At 39.1% G+C, this 20697-nt stretch overlaps 1 protein-coding gene across 1 annotated transcript in view, besides 3 other annotated features; it reads left to right on the forward strand.

Annotated features, from left to right (window-relative positions):
* Positions 1731–1870: an enhancer, noted in NCBI's record as "active region_29452". NCBI's record gives its function as "activates an Ori minimal core promoter by ATAC-STARR-seq in GM12878 lymphoblastoid cells {active_cell/tissue: GM12878}" and the evidence as "EXISTENCE:reporter gene assay evidence [ECO:0000049][PMID:35858748]".
* Positions 5188–5482: an enhancer, noted in NCBI's record as "tiled region #9466; K562 Activating DNase unmatched - State 12:CtcfO". NCBI's record gives its function as "activates a minimal TATA promoter and a strong SV40 promoter by Sharpr-MPRA in K562 cells {active_cell/tissue: K562}" and the evidence as "EXISTENCE:reporter gene assay evidence [ECO:0000049][PMID:27701403]".
* GRPR (gastrin releasing peptide receptor) overlaps positions 5487–20697 on the forward strand; it is a 29954-nt gene continuing 14743 nt past the window's right edge. Inside the window, exon 1 of the mRNA NM_005314.3 lies at positions 5487–6288. Within this exon, the coding sequence (NP_005305.1) occupies positions 5876–6288 (413 nt within the window). The 5' untranslated portion in view covers positions 5487–5875. The remainder of the gene's footprint in view (positions 6289–20697) is intronic.
* Positions 20047–20116: a silencer, noted in NCBI's record as "silent region_20677". NCBI's record gives its function as "represses an Ori minimal core promoter by ATAC-STARR-seq in GM12878 lymphoblastoid cells {active_cell/tissue: GM12878}" and the evidence as "EXISTENCE:reporter gene assay evidence [ECO:0000049][PMID:35858748]".

The following is a 20697-nucleotide window of genomic DNA, read 5'->3' on the forward strand; positions in this document are numbered from 1 at the left end:
CACTAAGCTTGGGGTAATTTGTTACAGTAGCAACTAATACATACTCCCTGATAGGAAGTGATGAGAAGGGTGCCTTACCTCTTATGGTTTTTCTCCCCCAAATTTATATCCCTAGTCAAGTCATGAAAATATACCAGGCAAACCCCAATGAAGGGACATTCTACAAAATACCTGACCAATATTCTTCAAAAATATCAAGGTCAGGAAAAACAGGAAAGTCTGAGAAACTGTCGCAGCTAGGAGGAGCTAAGGAATCATGTTGATTACATGCAATATAGTATCTTGGATTGGACCCTGGAACAGAAAATGACAGTAATGGAAAGACTGGTGAAGTTTGAATAAAATATGTAGTTTAGATAATAGTGTTATATCAATGCTAATTTCTTCATTTTGTAACATTTTAATAATAGAGGAAGCTACGTGAGGGGCATACAGGAACTCTTTGTACCGTCTTTGTGACTTTTCCATAAACTGAAAGACATTTCAAAATCTAACATTTAAAGAGGAATCCATGCCAGCAACATGTTTTCTTTTCAGACATCTGTTATTAGAGATGGAAATAATATAGGAATGTATTTCAGGGAGTCTAGGACTGTGCTGATCGAACCCTCTCAGGGGAGAGGAAGAAAAGGCTAGAAACAGATGGCTGAGGGTAGAGAAACAGTACCACTCTCATTTGCCTTCCATGCTCCTGGTGGTGCTAATGCATCAAGTTGTCCTGGGGCATAGGCAAGGGGAAAATGTTCCTGTACTTTATGAATGGAGAATCCATAGCACAGAACAGTTCAGTAACAAATAATGTTCATTGAATTTATTTTACTTGTCCAAGTTCACTGAGCAGATGCAGAAATGAAATATAAACGGTCTAATTTCCAGGTATATGGTGGCTGAGCAAGAAAGTTCAGTTCATTTACAATATTTTAAAAATACATATTTTGATCCAGATAAGAAACTTTGGTGTTGCAGAATGACAAATGAATTTCAGTGTGCACAACCTTTCTAGATTTGACCATACTTTCCTTCCCTCACACCCTGTATGACCACTCCAGGTTTAACTCAGGTTTATAGCACTTGCCTTTTCTGGTCTTCCTCTTCTGTTTTCTTTTGTCTTTGGGGTGGTTTTCTTTTCTTCCTCTTCTCCATCCATTCTACTTACCAGGTGTTACCTGTGGGTGCATAACAAATTACCATAAAACAATGGGTTAAAACAACAAACATTTATTAACTCATGGTCTCTGTGGATCAGGAATTTAACAGTGGCTTGGCTGGGTGATTCTGGCTCAGGGTCTTTCATGAAGCTGCAGTCAGAGAGTCAGCTGGGGCTGCAGTTATGTGAAGGCTTGACTGGGGATGGATGATCCATTTCCAAAATGACTGACTCACATAGCTCTGGACAGGAGGTTTCAGTTCCTCCCCATGTGGATCTGTCCATAAGGTCACTTGAGTATCCTCATGACATGGCTGCTGATTTCCTTCAGAGCAAGTGATCCAAGGAGAGAGTGCAAAGAGGAAGCTGCAATGTCCCTTATCATCTAGTCTTGGAAGTTACACACTATTCCTGCTGTGTCATTCTATTTGTTAGAAGCAAGTCACTAAGTAAAGCTCACACTTAAGGGGTGGAGGTGGGGGTTAAATTAATCTACATCTCTTGAAGCAAAGAGTACTGAGAACTGGCGAATATATTTTAACCACCACACCAGGTGTTCTCCTAGCCTCAGATGTGTCTGAGAATTTCGTCTTCCTCTTTAGGCTTTCTCTTGGCATCTACATTTACTTCTGCAGTTTCATGTGACTCAAAATGAAACCCAATTCATTTTTTCCTTCCAGAAGACTCCTCTCATCTTTCTTCTAAGTTTTTAAGCCCCATAAAAAGTCACAGAATGTTGAGAAAAGAAAAGGGAACTTGAAACGATCCCAGCATTACAGGATCTGGATAGAGTCATCTGCCTCTTTTGTTCCTGCTGCAGTACTAAAATTTGACATCTCTGATTCTTCTCAAGCAAGAGTTGCTGCAGTCTTTTGAGCAGCTTCTCCGTGGTGCTGTCACAAATCTAATATTGAAATCACGCTTAGTCTTCACTGACTTTTACCACATAATCTTCTTCTCAAAGCCTAACTTCACTTGATTCTCTGTGATTCTTTTACTGTACATTTAAACTATTTGGCATTCAGGGTTCTAGTTCTCAACCAGTCCTCTTAATTATTTACTTCTATGCTTTCAGACTTCACCTCTCATTTTCCATTGGCTTTCTTACATTCCCTTGTTCATCTAGCAAACTCAATATGCCTGAAGCCAAATTCAGCCTTTCCCTCCAGAAGCTTCCCTTTTGACCTTGCTCATAGCCAGTGGGAAGAGGCTTTGTCTCCACACTCTGTGGTCCCATTGAATCTACCTGTTCTCCTAAATTCTATCAAGTCACTGTTGCCCACCTCATGTTAGAGCCCCACAGAAAATCCAGTCTTTTGGAAAGATGAAAAAGGTGACTCTATTGACTGAAATAGAAACAGAAGTGACAACCCTGTCCCAACACATAAGAAAAGATGCTGAGTCATACTCCAATTCTATTCAGAAATTGGACTCCCTGGGGACAGAGATTTTATATTACATTTGTTCCATGTCATGTTCACATGTCAGAGGCATCTCATGTTCACCAGTAAATAAAAAGCTAAGCAAATGTCTGAATACGTTTGGTGTTTGGTGTTCCGGCTCTGCCGGAAGGTGACACATAATGGTAGGGATGGAAAGAGTCATTATAGTTAATTAGTTGAAATGACATAGAAATTATGGAATTAGCTTTTTTTTTTTTTTTTTTTTTTTTGAGAGGGAGTCTTGCTCTGTCGCACAGGCTGGAGTGCAGTGGCACGATCTCGGCTCACTGCAAGCTCTGCCTCCTGGGTTCACGCCATTCTCCTGCCTCAGCCTCCCAAGTAGCTGGGACTACAGGTGCCCATCACCACGCTTGGTTAATTTTTTGTATTTTTAGTACAGACGGGGTTTCACTGTGTTAGCCAGGATGGTCTCGATCTCCTGACCTCATGATCCACCCGCCTCGGCCTCCCAAAGTGCTGGGATTACATGCGTGAGCCACCGCACCTGGCCCGAATTAGCTTTTTAAAGCATCCTTGATCCCCGAAAATATTAGATGTCAAACCTCAACGCACCTTTACTCCTAAAATACCATTAGAAGAATCTATAGTGCTGTGGAACACATAATGCTAACACCAGCTATGAGAAATCAATATCTATCAGCATCCCCTTAACTTACATTGGAAGAAACACTAACCACCCAATTAGATTTAAGTAGTGAGGCTGACTCAGCACACAGGGGTGTCTAAAGAAATAAAGGGAAACAACATCCAGAAGTTCTCTTTGTGAACCAAAAATATGCCTTTTAGACCAAACTTCTTAGCAAGAATACAAGATCCATCACAATCTCACCCAAACCTGCTTCTAGCTGCATTTCACGCTGTTCTTTTTCCACCCCTGTCTTCCAATCTGGGTGACCCTCTGGATTTATAGATGTCCCTCTGCTCAATGTCATGCTCTTTCCTTTATGCCTTGATCCTAGGCACATATGATTTTCTTCATTCAAAAGACCTTGTCAACACTTAACCTTTAAAGATATCGTCTTTTCTGGAGAAAAGGTAGTTGCTTCACTCCAGAGAGGGGTTGGGGTCTAAAGAGCTGTGAGAGTACACATCTTCATGCTATTTTTCTCAGCCTCTTGCTCAGTGCCTGGCAACTGGTAGATGTTTGATAAATTTTTTTCAAGTAAATAAAGGAGTTGCTAATTCACTCGTATGAGTGCTTGCCTATTGATCTGAGGTCAATCACTCTTCTGAACTCATTGGGCTTTTCCAAAGTAAGCCTTTCCCCCTCAATCTAATAATGATAATAATAATAAGTGCTAATATTAATTGAGCACTTACTATGTGCCAAATACTATGCAATCTTAACATGAATCATTTCATCTAACTTCATAAGTTCTCCTCACCCTGCAGATGAGGAACCTGAAGCTTAAGACACTAAGTAACTTGCCATAATTATAAATGAGGGAGCCAGGATTGAAGCAGAGCCTGTGTACTGTATCATTAAGCTATATTGCTGGCAACTAATCAACACCACTGGGCTCATGGCTATTGGCTGGTTACTGGTGCTACTGATCTCTGCCGAGAAGCTCTTCCACCTCTAGCCATGCAGCATCAGTCTCCCTCCTGCTGGCAGAGAGGGGCGCTGAGCCTTTCATATTTACATAGAAAGCATGGCAGCAGCCTCAGTGTTGGAACCTGCCACTGGAAATGTCCATAACAACACAGTTGGGGGCTTTCTTTGTGGGCCCTGGCATGGTAAGTGCAAGTTTTGTTATTCCTTATGGGTTCTGAAAAATGAGACTTCACCTGTTAGTGACTGGCTTCACGTCATGTACCTGGAGGAGCTGGCTTCACATACGTCATAAAGATGCACTCTAATAATGTATTTAGAAGTTGTTGGCTAAAGGTCTAAGCCTGATTCTAATAGCACTTCCTCAATTAAGCTTTTTCTAGCACTCCTTCAACGATAACTTACTTCTTTTACCACCCACTCAATTCCTCAGTATTGTATCTATCACGCTTTTATAGTTCTTTATTTTCCACACAGGGCTATAAAGAGGATATTTGCTATAAAACATGGCAAACATTCAATTAAAAATGCAAATAGCTGCATCAAAATGCCGATTCATAAAATTTTTAGATCAGATGAGAAAAGACCCATTTTTCTGGAAAAGACTATTGATCATTGAGAGTTAAGAATACAGCTGGTTCCCAATTTAATTTCTCCCTGGTAAACAGAATAGGAATGGCTTGGCAAATCTACAGGAAAGAACATGTGTGCATTGTGCTTCTGGCTTTTCCAGATGTCAGTTGCTGAAGGTTTAAGGTGTGAGTCTGTGCATGTGTTTCTGAGGATCAGTCCCTGTTCAAAGAGGCAGTGGGAAGACTGAGTGGGATAACTCACACATGGACACCCTGTGCATCAGTGTGCGTTTAATTCAAAGACAGACCTCATTTGATAGCAATATTGACATGTCATTCTAATGAATTAGAAAAAATGAGAAAATGGGATGTAAATCCCCATCTGGATTCATGGGGATAGTATCAGAAAGATTTTCAGTGCCTTTGCAGAATGCTAGCAACATTTATTAAATACCTACCCTAGGTGCTATGTGCTTACATGAGAAGCCAAAGGTATCTGTTAAGCTAGGTAGGAACTGCAGTCGGCTGGTTGCTTCTCATCTGGAGAAAGCAGGCAACTGGGCAGTGATTGAAGTGTCCAGCAGGGGGCTGGCATTCTCTGTCTATAAGTAACACTGGTTCCTCTTCAGAGCCTCAGCTCAGCGGAGCTGCCGTTTGCTGGTGAAGCCCGTGACGTGCAAAGCATCCTGCCTATAGGATTTGAGGATTTCTCAGTGCAGTTTTTTTCTACCCACTTTAAACCTCCAGATTCTAAATATCAGGAAAGACGCTGTGGGAAAATAGCAGGCCAAAAGTTCTTAGTAAACTGCAGCCAGGGAGACTCAGACTAGAATGGAGGTAGAAAGAACTGATGCAGAGTGGGTTTAATTCTAAGCCTTTTTGTGGCTAAGTTTTGTTGTTGTTAACTTATTGAATTTAGAGTTGTATTGCACTGGTCATGTGAAAGCCAGAGCAGCACCAGTGTCAAAATAGTGACAGAGAGTTTTGAATACCATAGTTAGTATATATGTACTCAGAGTATTTTTATTAAAGAAGGCAAAGAGCCCGGCATAGATCTTATCTTCATCTTCACTCGGTTGCAAAATCAATAGTTAAGAAATAGCATCTAAGGGAACTTTTAGGTGGGAAAAAAAATCTAGAGATGGCTCTAAATGACTGTTTCCTTCTGAACTTGGAGGTGGACCATTTCATGCACTGCAACATCTCCAGTCACAGTGCGGATCTCCCCGTGAACGATGACTGGTCCCACCCGGGGATCCTCTATGTCATCCCTGCAGTTTATGGGGTTATCATTCTGATAGGCCTCATTGGCAACATCACTTTGATCAAGATCTTCTGTACAGTCAAGTCCATGCGAAACGTTCCAAACCTGTTCATTTCCAGTCTGGCTTTGGGAGACCTGCTCCTCCTAATAACGTGTGCTCCAGTGGATGCCAGCAGGTACCTGGCTGACAGATGGCTATTTGGCAGGATTGGCTGCAAACTGATCCCCTTTATACAGCTTACCTCTGTTGGGGTGTCTGTCTTCACACTCACGGCGCTCTCGGCAGACAGGTAAGTACAGGCTGAAAGTTACATGCTCTCCAAGGGTGATAGACGCCTGGGTAAATGAACTACCATGTCGGGACAGGGAGCTGATTGCACAAGGGAAGTTTTACTCAAACACGGATTCCCTTCCAGGCAGGTTTTTATTCTGGGTATGACTTCTTGAGTGTAACATATTGGTTTAAGAAAGAAAAGTGAATGATGGGGACAGAAGGAGACAGATGAGAAAAAAAAAATCTCTAAGCAGAAAACTGAGGTGCCTTTTTCTGGAGACATATCTATTTAGCATTGCCTTTTCCTAACTTCTCCCTCCTTGCAAAATTAATTGACCAGTGAGAAAGACAATCACACCCAATAGAGTTTAAACCTCAGGCAAATGTTTTTTAGGAGCAATTGAAACCCCTCAGAGAACAGGAAAGTTCCACTGGATTTCTTCAAAACGTTCTTTCAGAAATAACCAAGAGGAGAAAATAAGCCTCATTTCTCTGAAATTCATTTTCCTCAGACAGTTTAACTTTTCTCACAGCTGATTTTGAATTTGACTCTCTGTGATAGAACAATTGTATGCCGGTTTTCCTAAGTCTCTCTTAAATGAAATCAAACATTATTTGAGTTTTTAAAATTTTCTGGAGAAAGCTCTATTCAAGGTTGATTTCTAATTTTAATATCTTTATTGACAATACTTCATATACCATGCTTTTGGGGCTTATTGTGGGGAGGAAGAGGGAGTTCACTACAGTTTTTTATTCTGGGAAATATACATATTTGCAAACTGCATTTCTTGTGTGAGCACATTGCATAAAAGTTTACGTTTATTCAGTCTTAAAACTATATATTCATTCTTTGAACATTTATCAAGTGTCTAGCATGTAAGAAACACTTACCTGAATTAGCAAGTCAAGAAATAGCTGCAGGTTGTTCACATAAATTACTGAACATACTTTATGTACTTCTGTGTTCTGGAAATTGGACATAGTAATGAATAGACTTTCAGACACAGCATAGACCATATGGTCAAACCCAGAAAAACTGCTGCAATGAACCTAGACTATAAATTTTTCACTTATAATCAACTGTATGTTATGTGTTAAAGATACAGAAGGATTTGAGAGTGTTCTGGAAAAGACATAGATGCTGCTCTTGAAAGTTTATACTCCGAAGAAAATGTCCCACATTTTAATACATGTGGTGCTGGATTCTCATTTTGTAGAGGAACAAACAGTCCTCAGGTGATCTGGCTTTGTTGAGTAATGGACAAATAAAGATAGTGTTATCAGTATTTATAGACATGTGTTTATGCTTAGCTACCTGAAGCACACTGCCCAGCACACGACATTTTCAAAGTCTGAAAAGTAATAGCACAGAAGTAAGGTTTGCACATTGTACCGACTGGACAGAGTTTCTCCATTCCCTCCATTCCCCTTCGGCTTGCACATCCTCCCCTGCACATCTGCCCACAGATACCAATGACCACAGACAGTTTCATGTATTGATTCAGGGCTGGCAAACTCTGGAGCTGGCAGAAGGGCTGTGGCTTGTTACCAATGGCCGAGGGCTCTTCAGGATGAGGGTAATTTTCTTAATGGGAAGGAGAGATTTTGGTTTCCGGGTTGGTGAGTGCAGTGGTACAGATGGTGTTTACTCTCTTCTTAGGGAGAAAAACAGAAAGGAAAGTGAGGGCATGAACTGTAAAGATGCAGCTGCAGGGAACTCTTCTCTGGAGTTTCAAAGCAGACCAAGTTCACCATCAACAGAAAGGGAAAGCTCTTTCAAAAGCCAGGTTGCACTCCTTCGCGGCTCCAGTGTGTTCCCAGTAAGTTTATAGTTACTGCCTGTCCTTGCCAAGTTCAGAAATTACTAGAAGCTCCCATATAGCTAACTTTTTGTGTTTTGCTAAGTCTTTAAAAAGCTGATGGATCACCTGAATCACAGGTAGTGCATCTAACCAATTCCAATAGAAAGAATAGGTATTGAGCTAAATGATTAAGACTGTACTTTTTTTCTATTCATCTCATTTTTGAAAACAATGGGATTCTTCTATCTTATATCTCTGAGGTTGGCAGGGCAAATATATATTCTATATTATTTTTTCTTCTCAACAAGGTGTAATCCATATACACAGTAAACTGAACAAGTAACAGCTCAATATATTTTTACATATGTCTATAGAACTGCATAACCAGATGGAGATATAGAACAGTTCCAGCATCCCCCAGAGTTTCTCTTATGCCCTTTCCTAGTTAATACCCCCATACAGAGGCAATCACTATTCTGATTCCAATCACCATAGGTTATTTTTGCCAGTTCTTTAATCTCATATAAATGGAATCATATAGCAAGTACTCCTTTGTATCTATCTTCTTATGCTTATCATTATCTCTGTGATATTCACCTGTATTAATACGTGTAACAGTGTGGTTTGTTCTTTTTAATTGTGTGTGGTGTTCCATTGTATGAATACACTTTGGTTTATTTATTCCTTCTAATACCGATGGACACTGGGTTGTTTTTAGTTTGGGGATGATGATAACCTGCTCTGGACATTCTTATTCATGTCTTTGGGGAAACATAAGTGTTTATTTTTCTTGGATATATGTCTGCGAGTGAAATTGCTGGGTTATAGGGGCCTATATTTACTAAATATTGTCAGTTTTCAAGGTGGTAGTCTGTATTAGGTAGATTGGTGAAAAAGTGAATGAACTAGAAGACCCTCCAAACCAGATGATCACCAGAGTCACAGGGGAGCTTTAAAAACATACAGATTCCTAGGCCCTGTCCTAAATCTACTGAATTCAGGGTTCTGAGGCATGAGTGGGGCACATAGTGATAACCATCCATCCCTGCCCCCTATACATTGCCCAGCATTGCCAGTCCTCATTCCAGCTTCCCTTCTGCAGTTCCCCCCTTCACCGGGTGAATTCGAGTCTTTGTCAATATGAAAAGAATATCAAGTTTCTAGAAAAGTTTACACTGGCATCACCGGGTAAAAGGGAGACTTCAAGGCAGTCCCAGAAACCAGAATTCTGGGGATTTGCACAGCTGAGCAGTTGTAGGTTTGCATTCAACCACCTTCAATATTGATCCCCATCCTCCCTCTCCTCCCATGCTTTCTGTCCTTACACACACACTGATATCCTCATACACAGTGGTTGCACTGATGTGTTCCTGGCTCTGTTTCCTGGCTTATGCTGTGTCCCACCCGCTCTCCAGAATGCTTTCTCCTTTCCTAAATACAGACTGTATTCCTCATCCCATGTGGCATTTGGGCTTGGAATGGGTATCAACAAACCTGCATTTTAGACATTTTCCTGCCATTACTACCCGTATGAGAAAGTGGGACTAAGTCACTTAACTCTCTGACCTTAGTTTAATCATCTATAAAATGATGGAGTCGAGCTAGGCAATGTCTATGGTCCCTTCAAGTTCTAAAATCTTGTGATTGTTTTTTCTATCTTCTTGTCTATCATTCAGAATCTGATTCAAATCTCCTCCTTAAAGCCCTAAGTTGAGCCATTCTAGCTCAAATTTCCTGACCCTCTTGAAATATCAGACTTATTATCTGAGACATGAATTATCTTGTGACACCTTTTATATTGCTGTTTGGAAGTGTTTTGTTTGTCTGTTTATTTTAGCCTCTCATATATTCATTGCTTTACATTTTTTAGGTAGATTATTAAGAATGTTGAAGGCAGAGATTTTCAATATATTCTTAAATCTTCCATAGTGCCCCTCAAGTTTTCTTGTGCCAAATGGGTGATCAATAAATATTGACTAATTAAAATTACGTTTAGTTAATGCATACAATTTTCCTCATTCTTATTCTTCATTCTATTTTGAGGATTAATCTGAAAGCATACTCTTAAAAATAATGTATTGGCCGGGCGCAGTGGCTCGCGCCTGTAATCCCAGCACTTTGGGTGGCCAAGGTGGGTGGATCACTTGAGGTCAGGAGTTTGAGACCAGCCTGGACAACATGGTGAAACCTCGTCTCTACTAAAAATACAAAAATTAGCCGGGTGTGGTGGCAGGAGCCTGTCATCCCAGTTACTTGGGAGGCTGAGGCAGGAGAATTGCTTGAACCCAGGAGGCGGAGGTTGCAGTGAGCCGACATTGTGCCACTGTACTCCAGCCTGAATGACAGAGCAAGACTCCATCCCAAAATAATAATAATAATAATAATAACAATAACGTATCACATAGTCACCTGCTCATCTGTTCTCTATTAAGCTCTCATTATCTGGGTAAATGAAAGAAAAACTATTTTTTGTGGGTCAGTAAGTAGATTCAGGGGATAAATAGATGGGTGGATGGATGGATAGATGGCTGGCTAGCTGATTGGGTGGGTTACATGTATGAGTGGACAGATGGATGGATAGATGGCTGGCTGGCTGATTGGGTGGGTTACATGTATGAGTGGACAGATGGGTGGATAGATGGATGAATGGTTGGATAGATGGAGATATTTTTTACATACTGGTCCTTCCTATTAGATGTCCACCTTTGTGCTAGGTGCCTCATTATTATGTAAATGAAATTTGAGACCTGAATTGGACCCTCAACAGAAAAAGGGTGAGCGTGGTTTGTGTTTTCTTTTCCAGTAAGTGTAAGGTTTAAAGCTGAATTTAATGTTGACAATATATGTAATGCCCAAGTTATATCAAGCCTGCTTCAGTGCCATTATTCAGTGTTATTTTTACTAGAATGGGGCTGGCAGAATGGATTCTAAGGACAGATGGATATGGCGGTTCCACTGTAACATGATTCTTCTTTGATTCTATGGAAAGACTGGTTATAAGTTTCTTTGTTATTTGGAATGTGGAAAGAAACAGGAAGGTGTTATATTTCTGCAAACTTCTTGAAGTACAGATTCTTTGAATTTTCTGCAAGGAATGTATGTGATAACATGGTTTGTAGCTTTCCCGACATCTAGAGTTGTATGGTCTAACTTGGTAGCCACTAACCACATGTGGCTATTTAAATTTGCATTTAATTTAAATGAAATGGAAAATTTCATTTCCTCATCACACCAGCCACACATCAAGTGCTCAGTAGCCACATGTGGCTAGTGGCTACTCTATTGGGCAGTGGAGACAGAGAACACTTCAGTCATTGCAGAGGGCTCTATTGGACAGTTTAGAAAAGAGTTTGCTATATGCTTTGGGGTCCAAATTTCTTCCCCAGGATACACGTTTGCTCCTCTCTCTCACAGAGGGTATCAGGAATTCCTCAGATAGGCAAATATCAAATGCCTCCCAGCTGCACAGGCTCTTTCTGTCTGTGAAATATCTTCTGTTGGAAGACACACACAAGTGAAGAGGGAAGAAATGAAGCAGCCCCATATCATCTGTAGTCACAGGCTTGGGGAATTTAGGCATCCCATTGATGAGGTTTTGAGGCTTTCCAAAGACATGAGGGGTCAGCTTTCCAGGTCTCCACTGTGAACTTGTGTCTGATCCTTTCATTCTTTCTTGTAGGTCCTCTTCCAGCTGCCAGTCTCTCTTTTATATCCCCCTGTCCCAAGACTTGCCAGAACAAACACTGCTCTAGCCAAACTCTTCTCACTGCCTCCCACATGTGCCACCAGACTTCTCCCCCTCTAACTTCATTTCCCCTTCTCTGATGGCTGGGCCCTATTCTTTCCATCTACCCAAATCCTATCAATCCTTCAAGGGATAGTTCAAGTCCTTTCTCTTCTATGAAGCATTCCCTGATCTTTGGCTTTCATTGATTTTTTTTCCCTTCCTAAGATGTTTCTGCCTGTATTGTTCATTAAATGCCAAATCTATCCTGTACTACTAGGTCTTTGTTAGAGATGTGTTTTATACTTCCTTAATCGTATGGGGTGGTTCATAGGGATCTGTGTCTTCTACAGTAGCCAGGCCCACTCTGCATTCAGTAAGAGTACAATAACTACACCTTGGTTGATGTTTGAGCAGTGACAAAAGGATAAAGTCCAGCAGCTAGAAGTAAAAGTCATCTTGAAGTTCACACCCTTGTTTGACACAGAGACCAAAAGAGGTGATGGGATTTAACTTTGTCACAACAAATTCAGAATGGACTCAGATTAGAAAGAACCCTTTCATCCTCATTCCAAGTCTTAATTCCTTCAGGGGAACTGGAAACTTTTCTTCAGAAGCCATCAAACACAGAGTCTGATTCCATTTCCCTTTTCTGGACAGTGGGAGCTACTGATGCCAAAACTACCCTTCTGAAGGAAAATACCCTGAGTGACTCCAGGGTAATCCCCTTCTAATGGGGTCACCCCAGTAATTCCAAAGGCTCCTTTACCATTCTGGAGGCCCAGCTTCATTGATTGCAAGGAGATTGGCCCCTTTCTCACAAGAGAAGACTTACTTAATATCATTCCTTGTAAAGCATCCTTCTAGAAATGCTTTACAAGAAAGTCCCTCTGCTGGAACCAGTTTACATAAGCTGCCAGTTCATAACTTCTGTATAGTTTGATTTTTCTGAAACACATGCTGCCCCTCTCTGGAAGGAAACTCAACTCATGTCTCTCCACGGCAGTGGAACTACCACAGCTGCCAGCAGCCTCTGGGAATGATGAGAGGACAGGTGCTGTTGAAGTGAGGTTTCCCAGCAAGGCTCTTTCAAGCGGATCAGGAGAGGAGAAGGGCAGCAAAGAACTTTGACCTTGTCTCTCACTTGTTATCTTTTAAAGTGTTAGGCTTTTATGTGACTAATTAAGTATCATTTCTGGCAACTTAATATGCATAGAGGCAAAAAAGAAAGCACAAGCTTGATCATGAAACATAGAGTATAGCCTGAAAGGGCTCCCTGCTGAGGATTTTTGAACTGTGCCTGTCAATAACATCCTTTGAAAATAGGCTAAATTTACATTTTTGAGCTTGTAAGTCCTCCTATGTGTGGGGTTTGCGTAAATTCTCTCTTAATTAAAACACATGTTTTTCAGAATAAAAGAAAAAAAAATTCTCCATTTCTTCTTTTTATCTCCTAGTAATAATAGAACAAGGGATTTTGAAGAAGTTCGTTTCACATATTACACATCATTTCCTGTAGGAGGTCTTCCTTGGCCACTGAATCTGAAGAAATAACCAATACTACCCCATAATCCAATTTCTTTTTTTCAGGTCTACTGAGGCGTAGTTTATATACAATAAATTTTTTACATTTGTATGAATTTTGACAAACATACAGTCACATCACTACCACCACCAGCACAGTCAAGATAGAGGACATTTTCGTCATCCCCCAATTCTATCATGCCCCTTTGTAATCTATCTCCTTCCTCCACCTACAGATCCTGGCAACCACTGATCATTTCCAGAATGTCATGTGAATGATATCACATAGTATGTAGCTATTTTAGGTCTGGCTTCTTTTAACTCACTTTTTGCACGTATCAGTAATCCATTTCTTTTTATTGCTGAGAAGGATTCCATTGTATGGATATTCCACATTTTGTTTATCCATTCTCCGGTTAATGAGCATTAGGGTTGTTTTTGGTTTGGGTGATTATGAATAAATCTGCCATAAACATTCTTGTACAGTTTTTGTATGGATATATGTCTTCATTTCTTTTGGGTAAATATCATCCAGTATTATTTTCTTGAGAATTATTTTGTTCATTTGTTTGTTTACTGTCTGTCTGCCACCACTAGAATATAAGCTCCAAAAAAGTGGGAGGCCATCTCATTCTTTGGTGTATTCTCTGACACTGGAACAGTCCCTAACCTGTAGTAGGTGCTTGATAAACATTTGTTGAATTGATGAATGGATGGATGCATGAAGAGAGGAATAAAGGAATTAATGAATTCTAGTAGGTCCTACTGGGTAAACCCAGAATACTGGATTATGGTCTGTAAATCATGTTGCTCATTACTTTTCATGATTAACAGAGTGATTGCAGGAGAACAATGGTTCCAACCCTAGATGACAAGAGTTTATCCAGATTTTATGGGGACTCTTGGAGTGGGGGCATTTTTAAAGAAAAACCAAATAAAATTATGACTACAAAATTAGGGAGAGAAGTGGATATTTTAAAACCTTTAGAAATCACACATTAGATTTAGAAATCATAATAAATCTCTCATTTAAATAAGCTGCTAAATTTCACCAACATCATAAAATCCAGAAAAAGAATATAATATCTATTAAATAACTGTCTGACACACCTCTGTCATACTTGTTTTCTTAAATATTTTGGCTTCATCCTCATTTGTCTCCCTTTAAAATGACATTATTTGGTAAAATCCATTTCTATAGAGAAAATAGAAGGAGGAGGTCAGTCTTCTAGCATGGTTGATTAAAATTGTCTTTTTATTAATGAGAGATTAGAAAAACTTTCTTTCAACTTCATATCTCATTATTGGTAGTGTCATATATATGTTTAGGATTAACATCAAACTTGGAAAAGCCATTATCAAATTTCTTTCTTATCTGGACTGTAAAAACCCAAAGCATTTCAAGTTTTCTTCTGCGTTGAGTAATCTTAAATACTTATTCAATTGATGACTCCTAGTAACCTATTTTTCATGGATATCTTCACATTATGAGTTTTGTGCTATCTCCATCAATGTCAGTATTTTGTGAGTTTGCACAACATCTGTGACTTTACACAAATATATTCGCTATTTGTAATTTGGCTACATGTTTCTGCCCTATAAACACAGACACTCATAAATTCAATTCTACTCATATATTTGGATTTAAATCTACCATCTTATTGTTTGATTTCCATTGATCTCACCTGTTTCATAATATTTTTTCCTTCCCTTCTTGCTTTCTTTTAAATTAGATATTTTAATTATTCTATTTCCCCTGTCTCTGAGTTTGTTAATTATACAAACTCTTCTTAATTTCTTTTAGGGGCTTCCCTAGAGTTTACAACAGCGTGTATCCCTGATAGAATCTACTACAAATTGGAACTTTCCTACTTCCTGGACAATGTAAAAATAATAGGACACTTTTAACTTCATTTAAAATTCCCTCTTGCCTTTTTGTTGGTTATTGTGATTCTATAGTTTAATTCTCTCTAGATTTAAAAACCTACATTATTTTTACTGTTTGTACATACTTTACATATACTCACATATTTACCTTTAGATTTAGATTTAGATTCCGTTTATTTACCTTTCCTGTTGTTCTCCATTCTTTCCTGTATCTCTGTGGCTTCATCTGAGATCACTTTACTTCTCCCCAAAGATCTTCCTTCAGTATTTCATTTAGTGTACCTATTTTCTCAGTCTTTGTTTGTCTGAAAGTGTCTTTGTTTCATGTACTTTTGGAGGATATTTTCAGTGGGCATAGAATTCTAGGTTGGCAGTTCTTATCTTTCAGCACATTGAAGTTGCCATTCATTGTCCTCTTACTGTATCTGACAGTCATATGTCAGTTTTATTGTTGCTCCTTTAATAGTATTGATTTTTTCTCTTGGACTGATTTTAAGATTTTTCTCTTTCTTTCTGATTTTCAGCAGTATTACTATGATGCACTTAGGCATGATTTCCTTTGTATTTCTGCTGCTTGGAGTTCATAGCATTTCTTAAATCTGTGGCCTGAAGATTTTAATTAGTTTTGGAAAATTCTCAACCATTACAACTTCAACTATTGCTTCTATCTCATTATCTCTTTCCTCTCCTTCTTTGTCTTGGCTACAGATAAATAGAATAACTACAGGTTAACTTTAAGCTTTTAAAGTGTTTTCCCCTTTGGTTATCTTTGCTTTTACTAAGGCAGGCAATTTCATACTAGAGTCAGACCTCTGTTACTGAGAAGTATTTTAAGCACAATTTCATTTCACCATTTTGCCATGTCCCATAAATTTCCTACTCTCTTTTCTGTATTTGCCATCTTTTTTTCCTCACTGTACTTCAGTCTGGCCATTTTCAGTTCTCTAATCCTTTCTTCAGTTGTGTCTAGGCTGCTTCTGAAGCTTCCATTTAATTCTTCATTTCAGTTATTATATATTGCAATTCTAGAATTTTCATTTTGTTCCATCTTGTAGTTTAATTTCTCAAATTAGTCCGAATATATTTTAAAATACCTTTCTGGTAAGCCTAATATGTAGAACCTCTATAAATCTGTTTCTATTTATGTATCAAGAATTATAGATAATTTGAGGCTCTAGATGGTATTATCTTCCAGAAGAGATTAGCTTTTGCTTCTTGAAGGTAATTAGGAAGTGGCATTACATCTGATGCAGTCAGGGATTGAACAGATTGAAGGATGGACTTTGGTTTTTGTGAGAGTTGGTCTATTTAATCTAGTTTTCCCCTGTCACTGAGGCTTACCCTTTCAGGCATCTCAACTAAAAGCCTGAGGTGTTAACCTGGGCTTCTCTCCTTGGTGGGCCCTGGACTCTACTTATTGTTCTCCTTCATCCTAAAACTCCTGGAAGCTCGGATCAGCTCTCACTTTCTCTGCTGCTGCTTGACATTTGGTTAATGCCTTAAGGGGGAAATGATGCTGAATAACAACTTCACGTTTTTGCACATCATTTCTCTCCAGGACTTTGGACTCTCAAATCCCTATTACCTTGGTATTTCTCTGATGTTTTCAAATAGATTTTTAAAACTTTTCCTTCCAGGAGAGTTTGCCATCAAAAAGAGTACATCCTATACTACTACCTCCCTTAAAGACCTGATCTGCTGCCCTCAAAACTACACACATCCCAGTTTCTTTAAAGAGGCATTCAGAGCTACCTATTCAGGCCTATGGGATCAACATTCACAGCCTCAAATTATCTCAGCAATTTTGAGTGAGAGAAGTGAGTTCTGGCTAACCTCAAAGTGAATAAGTCAGGAATCTCAACTGATGCCTGCCGCAGGGGACACTGCCAAGCATGTAGGTACATCAAAGCCTCTGGGATCTTTAAACTAAGCCAGGACTTTTAGCCCCAATAAGCAGGAGCTACAAATGACATTTTGCTATTCAGTGATTGATAACAGCTAAAATTTCATGGGAAGGAAAGAGCCAGAATGTTCCTAAGGTACATTTCTTTAAACTTCACATCTTTATTACTTTTTCTGTCTTTCTTTGTCTTCTTTCTCTTTTTTAATATTGTTTTTGTATTGTACTCAGGCTAGCTGGCCAGTGGTGATAGCTAAAGATTACATGGGAAAGAAGTAGGGGAAAAATGCAAAATTTGTCACATAAAGAATTTATTTTCCAATGTAAGGAGAATTTACTGTGACAATATTGTGTGTATGTGACTCACTTCTTTCTTCATGCTGTCTACATATAAATAGAATAACTACAGATCAACTTTAAGCTTTTCAAGGTTTCTTTTTTCCGTTTGGTGGTGGTGATTTTTTAATTGAGTCAGGCTGTTTCATATTAGCCACAGGCCTCTGTTATGAGAAATACTTTAAATACAATCTTAAAACAATAGAAAATTATGTACAAAACAAAATCACAGTAGTTACCCCATGAGTACATATGGGAAATGCTTATTTCTTTTTAAATGAATGGTGATCAGAACAGATTTCTAAGAATTTCATTATTATCTTTTCTTCTCCCTTTACACTTTAAATGTTTGGAAACATCATAGAAAAACAGAAAAATCAGAATTTGGCATCGTTTCTTTCCTAGATTGTGAACAGAAGTGAAATTGAAGGTTAAAATGATGATTTAAGGAATACATGTACTGCGGGATGAAGACAAGTACAGTCAATATTTAGTTTTAAGTATTCTTTACTTGTGCTTTAAAAAGACCCGAGCATCTAAAGTGCTATAGGTAAACATAAAAATCTCTGCTGACTTGGGGATCAAGAGACCCAGGTCTAGTCTTGGTTCTCAGCTAACTGGCTGTGGGACTTCTCTGGGCCTCAGTCTCTGGTCTCAGTCTCCTCTTCTATGACCTCTAAGTTTTATATTCCATAGTTACATATGAAACAGATTTGTGATTAGACGTTGACTCATTTGTCTGTACCAGGATAGCAGCACTTTATATGCTGACCTAGCAGCATCTATTCTAAGAGCTCTTCATAAAGGCATATGTCAGTATTCTTATATGGCTCATTAAGGGCTTTTCCTAGATGTATCTTGCTTCCCCAATTAGATTTTAAACCCTCAATGGCCGGGAACTATTATATCCATGGTGCCAAGCAGAGCCTGAGATGCCAAATTAGTACTTAAATATGCTGTTAGACTAAGCATCCTGAGCGATGAGTGCTTAGTACTGGAAGACCAACGACAGGGGTCAGTGGCCTATTGTCTTCATTATCACAAATTAATAAGTCTAACAGACGGTGCTGTGTGAGATGGAAAATGAGCTTACCTCTGTTTAAAGAAGGAACCAACAGCTTTGGTGTGGACAGGCAGAGAACAACAGAAACGGTAAAACTTTTGGCAAACATTTTCTGCAGCATATTAGGCTTTGTGGACCATACAGTCTCTATTGCAACTGCTCAATTCTACCCTTGTAGGGTGGAATCTGCCACAATGTGTAAACAAATATACACGGTGATAATACAATAAAGCATTATTTATGTACCTTGAAATTTGAATTTTATGAAATTTTTACATCTCAAAATGTTCTTTTGATTTTTTTCTCAACCATTTAAAATGTAAAAACCATTCTTAGCTCACGGGCCATATAAAAACAGGCAGTGGACCAGACTTGGTTGGTGGGTCTTAGTTTACTGTCCCTGATATAGAGTGTGCATGCTTTCTGGGGTGGTTATTTAGCAGTGAGAATTTCCTATTTGAATGGAGTGGGACCTAGGGGAATCCACGACCCCTTTCCAGTTAGCCAGGACAGACTTCCTAAGGAATATTATAAAGAAAAGGCATACATCTGTGTGATGCTTCAGGGTTTTGAGGCACTGTCATATCATGAACATTAACTTTTTAGATCATTTGGAATCCTTATCATTATCCCTGTTTTTAGATGGTGAAATGAGGGTTCTACATCACACGATTAGCAAACAGTGAAATTGAGAATCAAGCTGAAGTCTTTAAGCCAAGTGTCCTTTCCAGCATGACCTGGGTCCCGTGTGATGCTAACTGTTGTTTAAATGAAACAAGTAAGAGGGTTTTAAATGGAGGTTTAGCTGGATTCCAATTTCCATGGGTGGCAGACATGAGGGCAGGGCCTGGTAAATTGTTTACTAGGGAAGTAAAGGTGTAAACAGATGCTTCTCACCACCTCCTTTTAATGTTTCTCCATCATGCAAAGTGCTGCTTTCTCTAAGGTCTTTTCATTATAGGCTCATGTGAGCAAGTTGCCTTAAAATTGTCAAAAAGAGGAACTGAGTTTGGGAGAATCACTTCTTTGGTTACCCCCAGTGATTTTTCTAGTCTTGAAATGATTAGAGAAATAGGAAGTGTTTTGGCTCTAGGAGATCTCTTGGGAAAAGGCTAATAAGCTGGTATCCAGAGTGATTTTGGGTAAAAGGGCTTGAGAGTAGTGTGTGTGACTGGGAGCATGGCAGGGGAGGAATGGGTTGTCTTGAGCATCTTGAACCCATTTCCTTATCTGAAAGGAAGACATCACAGGCCAGACAAATTGGATGAATAGTTCTAGACTTTTAGTTTTAGTCATTTATTTATTTCATAAATAAAGTAGGCAGAAAATGAACAAGACCTAGACTCTACCCTTAAGAAACTGATACTCCTGTTACTCAGGGTACATCAACCTTCTTAATTTCCAAAATGGAATGAACATAAATGTCACTGAGTGTCCAGAGCTTATGCTTTGTTTAAACTCTTGTGTACCTAGCATAGGACCATGCAAAAGTAGCTGCTTAAGGTATGCTTTGGATTTGGATTTGTATATGCTAGAGGTATTACTTTTTGGGAAGTAGGGGGTGCTTTGTGTCATTTTAGCATGATGTGTTGCACTGAAGCTAATTGTAGGAAGAACCTGTGAAAGCAGGGACATTGCCCTCTAGCGAGCACCAAGGTTCTTTGAAAAGTCATGGTGCCCAGAAGCATGAGCAGAGCACTGCCTGTTTGCTAGAAGGGTCTTGGACATCTGTGTGAAACTGGGAGATGTTTATGCTATAGATCATTAAGAAAAGATACAGAATTGTATGCTCTCAATTCTGTACAAAAGACAAAAGGAAAAATTGGAAGGAAATATATCAAAACATGACATGCAAAACTTACAGATGATTTTTGTTTGTTTTTAGAATTCTCTACTAAGATTTTACAATAAGCTCTTTGTAGTTTGATAATAACTTTTTTGAATGAAAAACGTCCTTCAAAATAGCTAAATGCCTCCTAACCACCTTCCTTGTTGATGCTTTTGCTGACTCAAAGCGACTATTTCAGTTAGTTCTTACGATAACCCTGAAGTTGCATGATAACAAGCTTGAAAACTATTTCATCTTTCTTCCCTTTCTTCTTTTCTTGCTGTTTTGTTTTTTTTCTTTTTAAAATTGTACTGGGGTAAAATATACACAACAAAATTTGCCCTTTTAACCATCTTTAAGT

The sequence above is a fragment of the Homo sapiens genome, chromosome X (assembly GCF_000001405.40).
Source record: "Homo sapiens chromosome X, GRCh38.p14 Primary Assembly".
Classification (NCBI taxonomy): Eukaryota; Metazoa; Chordata; class Mammalia; order Primates; family Hominidae; genus Homo; species Homo sapiens.